General features: G+C 47.9%; 2 annotated features.

Moving 5' to 3' along the window:
- Positions 4,948–5,007: an enhancer, noted in NCBI's record as "active region_3692". NCBI's record gives its function as "activates an Ori minimal core promoter by ATAC-STARR-seq in GM12878 lymphoblastoid cells {active_cell/tissue: GM12878}" and the evidence as "EXISTENCE:reporter gene assay evidence [ECO:0000049][PMID:35858748]".
- Positions 5,249–5,750: an enhancer, noted in NCBI's record as "H3K4me1 hESC enhancer chr10:88344487-88344988 (GRCh37/hg19 assembly coordinates)". NCBI's record gives its function as "activates a minimal SCP1, AML or CMV promoter by ChIP-STARR-seq in primed H9 embryonic stem cells {active_cell/tissue: H9 hESC(primed)}" and the evidence as "EXISTENCE:reporter gene assay evidence [ECO:0000049][PMID:30033119]".

Genomic DNA, 9,699 nt, shown 5'->3' with positions numbered 1-9,699 from the left:
CTCCTGCCTCAGCCTCCCAAGTAGCTGAAATTACAGCCCACCACCACGCCCAGCTAATTTTTTCTTTTTTTTTTTAGTAGAGACGGGGTTTCACCATGTTGGCCAGGCTGGTCCCAAACTCCTGACCTCAGGTGATCCACCCAACTCGGCCTCACAAAATGCTGGGATTACAGGTGTGAGCCACCGCACCTGGCCATAAAGAGACGTTTTTAACATTTACATTATTTTATATCAAGCTGACCTCTCATTAAGACATTGATATAGTTTGGATATTTGCCCCCCCTTAAAATCTCATGTTGAAATTTGATCCCCAGTGTTGGAGGTCTGGCCTAATGGGAGGTGTTTGGGTCATGGGGGTAGATCTTTCATGAATGGCATGGTGCCATTCTTTTGGGAGTGAGTGAGTCTTCCCTATGAGTCCCTGTGAGAGCTGATTGTTAAAGAGGGCCTGGCCCCTCCTCCTCTCTTGTTCCTTTCTCGTGACACATTCCCCCATGAATGGAAGCAGTCCGAGGCCTTCACCAGATGCAAATGCCAGCACCATGCTTCTTGTATAGCCTGAGAACTGTGAGTCAAAGAAACCTCTTTTCTTTATAAATTACCCAGCCCCAGTGTTCCTTTATAGCAACACAAATGGGCTAAGACAGATATATAAATATAGCCTGTGATGGGGGAAGAGTAGACCAAAAAGAGGATAGATAGTGATGGATTATCTTGCTTCCAAGCTAGGAAAATGCTTCATGATATTCGAATGTGCAAGAATGGCCAGGCGCAGTGGCTCACACCTGTAATCCCAGCACTTTGGGAGGCTGAAGAGGGCAGATCACTTGAGGTCAGAAGTTTGAGACCAACCTGGCCAACATGGTCAAACCCTGTCTCTACTCAAATACAAAATCAGCCAGGCATGGTGGTGGGCGCCTATAATCCCAGTTACTCGGGAGGCTGAGGCAGGAGAATAGCTTGAACCTGGGAGGCAGAGGTTGCAGTGAGTCAAGATCTTTCCACTGCACTCTAGTCTGGGTGACAGAGTGAGACCCTGTCTCAAAAAAAAAAAAAAAAAAGAAATTTGCAAGAATAACACATCCTGATGGGCAACTCTTGGTGCCACACCTAGGATGCCCCAGCAAAACTGCCCAGGACATTGTGGGAAAGGCCCTACCGAATATGCTTGCATCATGCTCTAGGTTCTTCTTGTTCTCCTGGAATAGTCCCTGATGCACCCGAGCTCTTCTAACAAACAAACATCTCCGCTGCTCCAAATTTCAGGTCAAAGTCTTTTTTTTTTTTTTTTTTTTTGAGACAGAGTCTCGCTCTGTCACCTGGGCTGGAGTGCAGTGGTGCGATCTCAGCTCACTGCAAGCTCTGCCTCCCACGTCACGCCATTCTCCTGCCTCAACCTCCCAAGTAGCTGGGACTTCAGGCCCCCGCCACCATGCCCCGCTAACTTTTTTGTATTTTTAGTAGAGACAGGGTTTCACCGTGTTAGCCAGGATGGTCTCTATCGCCTGACCTCGTGATCCACCTGCCTCAGCCTCCCAAAGTGCTGGAATTACAGGCATGAGCCACCGCGCTCGGCCGAAGTCAAAGTCTTCTTCAACACCTTGGCCAGAGTTAGTGTCTCTTTCACTTAAGCTTGTCATGTAACCTTGGCCAAGTCACCACCCACTGAGCCCGGGACCTCATTGGTACACTGGGGATAATAATACCAAACTTAGGAGTATGGTGAGGATGAAAGGAGACAGTAGAAAACAAGTTGATCCCCTAGGATGTTCACAGGCATTCATTATATCTGAATCACAAATGACTTACTAATAAGCTTTTTAATGCGGCTTCATTTGATTCTAGATTGGTTGATCTTAAGCAAAGGTAAATTCTTTAAAATACTTATTTGCCTGTTTACAACAATTATTTATTTTTATTGTAGAAAATTTGGAAAGGGTACAAATAATCAAATAAAGGTGACTAGTCACTCTACACAACCACATTCAAACTCCCCACACAATTCTCCGTCACCGCCATTTTAGTGGCTGCCCAGGATATGGTTCCATGGATCTAGTGTCCTGTCCTATTGCTGATGGCTTAGGTTACTTCCAATTGCTCAGTGTTGCCAAGAATGCTGTGATAAATAGCCTTATAAATAAACTGTGGTGCACATTCAGTGCTATTTCTTTAGGATTCTTAGAATTATTATTATTATTATTAATTATTATTTTGAGACAGGGTCTTGCTCTGTCGCCCAGGCTGGTGTGTAGTGGTGCGATCTTGGCTCATTGCAGCCTCTGTCTCCCAGGTTCAAGTGATTCTCCTGCCTCAGCCTCCCGAATAGCTGGGATTACAGATGTGTACCACCATACCTGGCTTATTTTAGTATTTTTAGTAGAGACAGGGTTTCACCATGTTGGCCAGGCTGGTCTCGAACTTCTGACCTCAAGTGATCCATCTGCCTCAGCCTCCCAAAGTGCTGGGATTACAGGCATGAGCCACTGCGCTCGGCCTCTATTATTTATGCATTTAAAGACCAGGTTTCACTATATTGTCCAGGCTGGTCGCCAACTCCTGGCCTCAAGCAATCCTCCCACCTCAGCCTCTCAAATCATTTGAGATTTACAAGTGTGAGATACCACACCCAGCCAGAAGTAAAATGTCTAAGACAAAGCCCAAGCATCATTATAGAGGGCCACTTCAGAGAGTGATGGGAGTTTGGACCCTAAGGTGTAATCACAGCCTGCCCATCTGCAGACATGGCCTGCCCCCACCATGATCTCCACAAACAGGGCCCACAATAGCTGGCAAGGAGGTCCAGGGCCCTAGTGACAACTCTTTTTTTTTTTTTTTTTTTGAGACAGAGTCTTGCTTTGTTGCCCAGGCTGCAGTGCAATGGCAATATCTCGGCTCACTGCAACCTCTGCCTCCCAGGTTCAAGCGATTATTCTGCCTCAGCCTCCTGAGTAGCTGGGATTACAGGCGTGTGCCATCACGGCCGGCTAATTTTTGTATTTTTAGTAGAGACAGGGTTTCACCACGTTGGTCAGGCTGGTCTCGAACTCCTGACCTCAGGTGATATGCCTGCCTCGGCTTCCCGAAGTGCTGGGATTACAGGCAAGAGCCACAGCGCCCGGCCTATTTTTAGTTATTTATTTATTTTTGAGACAGAGTTTCCCTCTTGTCACCCAGGCTGGAGTGCCGTGGTGCGATCTCGGCTCACTGCAACCTCTGCCTCCCAGGTTCAGGTGATTCTCCGGCCTCAGCCTCCAAAGTAGCTGGGATTACAGGCGCCCATCATCAAGCCCGGCTAATTTTTTGTATTTTTAGTAGAGACGGGGTTTTGCCATGTTGGGCAAGCTGGTCTCAAACTCCTGACCTCAGGTGATCCTCCCGCCTTGACCTCCCAAAGTGCTGGGATTACAGACATGAGCCATCGTCCCCAGCCTCTTCTCGAGATTTAAACCAAGGCTCCTACTGCAACACTCTCTCACTCCAGCTTTTGTGCATCTCTGAGAGAACTGGCTGAGCTTTGTATTTGGTTGTTATTTTTATTAAAATCCTAGATTTATTGAATGTTTCTTTTTATCTTTAAAAGCCTCCCAGCCCCATTTGATATTCTGGCATTCCTCCCGGAGAGCTGGGCCGCCCTCCTCCCCAGGTGAAGAATCACTCCATTTACTCATCTTTGAAGTCACTTCCCTCGCTATTGGGAGCAATGCCACACATTTGTTGGCTGGACACAGGATGCAAATGCTGAAAGCTCACTTTGTGTCCCTGCCACTCTCCCCGCCCACTGTCCATCTCCTCTAGTGTGTAGTGGTGGCCCTATCCCCTTTTGGCACAGCTGGGGCCCCCTTTCTGTTCTCCATCTGAATCCAGGCCTGAGGCATCTCTGCTCCCTGGCATCACCCTGTAATAGACACATCCTTCCTAGGAACACAGGATCCTCTCCTCCCTTCCCCATGCCCCAGGGCTGCTCCTCTGCTCCCAGGCCAACTGCACTCCTTCTCTGGAACACAGCTCTTATCTATCTCCCAGAACAAGGAAGTTTCATCCTGTAACTAAGTCTTGCCAATCCGAGGAAAAGGCTTGAGGGTAGGAATGGTTCAGAGAAGAAAAACTAGGCCATCCTCTGAGATCAGGAGTCCTGAGGTCCCAGGAGGATCAGAGCAGCCTTGTAACAGTCTAGTGCAACTCCTTTGACTTACTAATGGGGAAACTGAGGCCCAGAAAAGGGTGGGACATGCCCACGGCCACACAGTGAGAAAGTGTCAGGCAGGACTGGGATGGAGGTCTTCTCATGCCAGACCCTATGTGCTTCACCCTGACTCCCTCTGCTAAGACCCAATCAAAGGCTGGCTGTTCCTATGCATTGCATAGATGCAGTACTTTTAAGTTTTTGCCACAGACCAGCCTGTGAGGATAAAATGGATCAGACATGCCCCTTGCCTCCAGCAGTGTTGTTCTCTAAGGAATAATAATACAAACTAGGACTGGGCGGGGTGGCTCATGCCTGTAATCCCAGAACTTTGGGAGTCCGAGGTGAGAGGATTGCTTGAGCCCAGGAGTTCAAGACCAGCCTGGGCAACATAGGGATACCTCTGTCTCTACAAAAAAAAAGGACAGGGAGAGAAACCGCATGAGCCTCAAGCAGATACCGCAATACATGGAGCCCACAAAGGCACTGGCTGTGTTTCTCTGCCATTTCAACCCCATTTGGACCTTAGTTGTGGCATGCAGGAGGGCCCTGCCAGGACGGTGACCCCTTACTCGCCTTCAACCCCTGCTGTAAGTAGCCCCCAGCAGGGTGTGGGGCAGAAGAGCCCTCCCCGGAGAGCTCAGTACTGCAATTCTGCCACTGGGTGGCACTGTGGTGCCTCAGGAGGGGGACCACGCCTAAAGGAAACTGCCCAGAGAAGGGGTGGCACGGGAAAAGCGTCACTTGGGCCCTCCTGTGCTGGGCAAGTTGCTTTCCATCTAGGGTTACAAAGAGGTACATGAAATAGGTCCTGCCTTCCAGGAGCCCACAGTGGAACAGTCACATGGACAACAAATTAATTGTTCCAATAATAGATGTAATTAGTTGCTCCAATAGAAGCACAAGAACAACCGGTTCCCGCTGAGGGGCCCGGGGAGGAGGCAGCAATTGAGTCTTGATGTTAGAGTGCTCAGCAGGCCATTCTAGTTCAGGCTGTCTCTCACAGTGCAGGCTCTCAGGGCACTGCGCACTTGGTTTGGGTGGGAGGTAGGGGTGGGGTGTGCCCAGGGAGGTTTGGCCCAGTCCATAGGACAGCGACCTGTAGGGAGCTGGGGGCTGGAAGCCTCTGTCAGCCACCTTCCCCAGCCAGCAGCAGGCTGAGCCTCTGAGGCCAGGGCCTTTGGTGTGGCTATCCTGGGTTGCTCTGTCTCCATTAAAGCACTTAGCTAAGGGACATGGAGGAGAGACACTGGTGTTAGGACAACCAGAACACTGGGAAGTCTTCCAGTGCCAAAGAAAGACAACTGGCCTCCTGTCCTCTTGCTGTGCCTTCTGGCCTCAAGTCCACATGACCTTGGCCTGGGTACGGCAGCCCTCAGGGCTCAGTGACTACATCTGTAAAAAGGGTCTTCTGTCTAAACAAATATATTGAGAAATGAAAAAGTTTAAAGGACCTCTTTTGACTGACCTGAAGGCACACCCTGTGTCCTGCAGGTGTGGGGGACACCTGGGAGAGAAGGACTCTCCTCTGCCGGCTTCAGGTTGTGGCTGGGCCCAGTGGAAAGCCAGAATACATCTCTGTCCTTGGAACACAATTCATCCTCCACAGCTTCTGTAAAATCTGATGGGCTGAGCTTTGCAGCAGGGAAGTGATTTAATACCTAGTAGATACATTTTCATTAAATTTTTGAAGATGGAGCAAAGCCTCTAGTTTTCAAATTTTCTGTGCAGAAGTTAACCCATTATGGTGTTGAAACCCACATCCGCACCGTAAAACTAAAATCTTCTTCTCAAAACAAAGCACAATATATCACCCTGTAATAGACACATCCTTCCTAGGAACACAGGATCCTCTCCTCCCTTCCCCGTGCCCCAGGGCTGCTCCTCTGCTCCCAGGGCTGCTCCTCTGCTCCCAGGCCAACTGCACTCCTTCTCTGGAACACAGCTCTTATCTATCTCCCAGAACAAGGAAGTTTCATCCTGTAACTAAGTCAATCCAACTAAGGAGATGGATTGACTGAGGTTTGCAACTAGGGGCTTCAAGCTTGCCCAGGAGATGAGCAAAGGGTTGGCCGGACCGTTGCTCGCACACCCATCACCAGTAGGGTGCACCTCTTTTCTCCTCCCAGGTCCTCACTGGTGAGGCTGCAAGCCAGGGCTGGGTGTGGCATTTCAAGCAGATACTCTGCACCTCCTTTTGTCATTTACAAGTGATGCTGGTGACAGGTGATTGGGTGTTTGGAAGGCACACAGGGTCTCATGGATCTGAGGGTTTGCTACAGACGGGGAAACTCCTCACATTCCCTCCACCAGTGTCCCACCCCAGAGCTAGGCTTGCCCACCATGGCTGGGGATCCAGGTTACCTTTTAGAGGGATTGCTCCCCTCCAGCCGACCGCCACTCCAGAGGAGGCCTGAGGGGCTTTCCTCCCACCTATATTTAAATAGCACGCACAACCTTTCCATTGAAATCGTGCACAAACTGGAGCTTTCCAAAGACACTTTTATTTACACATTTTACTGCTAAACAACAGAAATTTTATGTAATTATGTATTTGAATACTGATGAGAGGAGGGAAGGAGGATGGCCAGAGGGGAGCTGATGGGGATTAAGGGAGATAAAGATAAAGCCCTTTCTGTCCCCTGCCTTTGCCCCAACTACTTCTTTTTTCTTTTCTTTTCTATATAATTTTTCTAATTTTTTTCTAATTTTTTTACTAAATAAAAAATTAGTACTCCAATGGAAAAATGAGCAAAAGATGTGAAAAATACAATTCACAAAGACTAAGAATGCCCACTGTTAGTGAGGTGAAACTGGCCCTCACCTTCTGTGACTGGACAAGTACTTTTATACGATCTTTCAATTGACGGTAGTTTCAAAATTCTTGAATGTGCATACTCTTTAATCAAGCAATTCTACATCTTGAAATTTACCCTGTAGAAACATCTGCACAACTAACCAAAAATAAATATGCCAGAATGTTCCTTGTATTATTATTTATTATATAGGCTAATTGAAAAATCATAAAAGTTCATCAACAGTAGACTGGTTAAACTATGGTGTAACCAATCATACGATGAAATCATATTTTTTTTTTTTTTTTTTGAGTCAGAGTCTCACTCTGTCGCCCAGGCTGGAGTGCAGTGGCACGATCTTGGCTAGCTGCAACCTCCACCTCCCGGGTTCAAGCAATTCTCCTGCCTCAGCCTTCCAAGTAGCTGGGACCACAGGCACATGCCACCACACCTGGCTGGTTTTTTTGTTTTTTGTTTTTTTTTGTAGAGACGAGGTTTCACTATGTTGGCCAGGCTGGTCTCGAACTCCCGACCTCAGGTGATCCACCGCCTTGGCCTCCCAAAGTGCTGGGATTACAGGCATGAGCCACCACGCCCGGTCATATGTAGTTATTAAAAGTATAAGGTACATGCATATCCTTCAATGTATGCCAATATGCCCTCAGTCTATTGTCAAATAACAAAAAAAAAGCAGATTAAAAATTGTTATGTGGCATGGCGTGGTGGCTCATGCCTGTAATCCCAGCACTTTGGGAGGCTGAGGTGGTTGGATCATCTGAGGTTGGGAGTTCGAGACCAGCCTGACCAACATGGAGAAACCCTGTCTCTATTAAAACAACAACAACAACAAAAAAATCAGCCGGGTGTGGTGGCACACACCTGTAGTCCCAGCTACTCGGGAGGCTGAGGCAGGAGAATTGCTTGAACCCAGGAGGCAGAGGTTGCAGTGAGCCAAGGTCATGCTATTGCATTTGCACTCCAGCCTGGGCAACAAGAGTGAAACTCCATCTCAAAAAAAAAAAAAAAAAAATTATTATGTTCCCTATGGCCCAGATGGCTCACACCTGTAATCCGAGCACTTTGGAAGCCTGGGGCAGGTGGATCACCTGAGGTCAGGAGTTTGAGACCAGCCTGGCCAACATGGTGAAACCCTATCTCTACTAAAAATACAAAAAATTAGCCAGGCATGGTGGCACATGCCTGTAATCCCAGCTACGTGGGAGGCTGAGGCAGGAGAATTGCTTGAATTTGGGAGGCGGAGGTTGCAGTGATCTGAGATCGTGCCATTGCACACCAGCCTGGGCAACAAGAGTGAAACTCCATCCCCCACCCCCCAAAAAACAAAACTATTATGTTTATATGTAAAAATATAAATTTGTATATATACTGAACATCTGGAAAGTTACATTAAACATTTAGACGTGGCTAGCTTTGGGGTGCATTTAGAATTTTCTACTTTCTACAGCTCTGGATTTTAAAAATACCATTTATGGCCAGGTGTGGTGCCTCATGCCTGTAATCCCAACACTTTGGGAGGCCGAGGTGGGCGGATCACTTGAGGTCAGGAGTTCAAGACCAGCCTGGCTAACATGGTGAAACCCCGTCTCTTCTAAAAATACAAGAATTAGCTGGGCATGGTGGTGCACACCTGTAGTCCCAGCTACTGGGGGTAGGCGGGTGAGGCAGGAGAATTGCTTGAATCTGGGAGGTGGAGGTTGCAGTGAGCCGAGATCATGCCACTGCACTCCAGCCTCAGCAACAGAGCAAGACTCCGTCTAAAAACAAACAAAACCCCATTTACAATATAACTTCTTGTTACCAGTAAAAATAATAGAATTTTCTCCCATTTGGGGAGAAAATAAACATTCCAACACTTGAGTGCCTATATCTTTGAACGTCTTTTGAGTCACGTGCCCCTCCCCAGGTCAGGGAGGAGGCCAGCCATATCATTTCAGCCTCACAGATAGGCACCTTGAACCTCTGTGAGTAGAGGGAGGTTGGCCAGGATCACACAGACAGAAATGCACACTCAGACCTCTTCAACTAGATGTTTCCAGAGGATTTTTGCTTTTGTTTTGTTTTGCTTTTTCTGGAAATCATACTCTCCACCCTGAGGATCTTTGGGCACAGCCACTTTGGTATCTGTATTTTCTTGTAGCAGATGCTGTTGGTATCCTGCCTGCACCCTCTTAACCTTTACCATTTCATTGCTTGCTGGCTTGACTTCCAAATGCCAGAACTTGCATCGAATTGCCTGAGAGCATTCTCTCTTCTTCAAAACAGGCCAGAAGTGGCTGGGCATGGTGGCTCATGCTTATAATCCCAGCACTTTGGGAGGCTGAGGTGGGCAGATCACCTGAGGTCAGGAGTTCAAGCCCAGCCTGGTCAACATGGTGAAACCCTGTCTCCACTAAAAATACAAAAAATTAGCCAGGCGTGGTGGTGCACACCTGTAATCCCAGCTACTCGGGAGGCTGAGGCAGGAGAATCACTTGAACCTGGGAGTTGGAGGTTGCAGTGAGCCAAGATCGCACCATTGCACTCAAGCCTGGGTGACAGCAAGACTCTGCCTCAAAAAAGCAAAACAACAACAACAACAACTAAAAAAAAAAAAACAAAACAAAAACATAGGCCAAGAGTGACAGACAATTAATGCCTCCTGGCAGCATCCCTTTACTTAATCACTGGCAGGAGCTGGTTTATAAATATCCCAGCTTCCTC

This window comes from Homo sapiens, chromosome 10 (genome assembly GCF_000001405.40).
Source record: "Homo sapiens chromosome 10, GRCh38.p14 Primary Assembly".
Taxonomy (NCBI): domain Eukaryota; kingdom Metazoa; phylum Chordata; class Mammalia; order Primates; family Hominidae; genus Homo; species Homo sapiens.
Note: the sequence above shows the minus strand (reverse complement) of the source record. Positions and strands in the feature narration are given on the sequence as shown.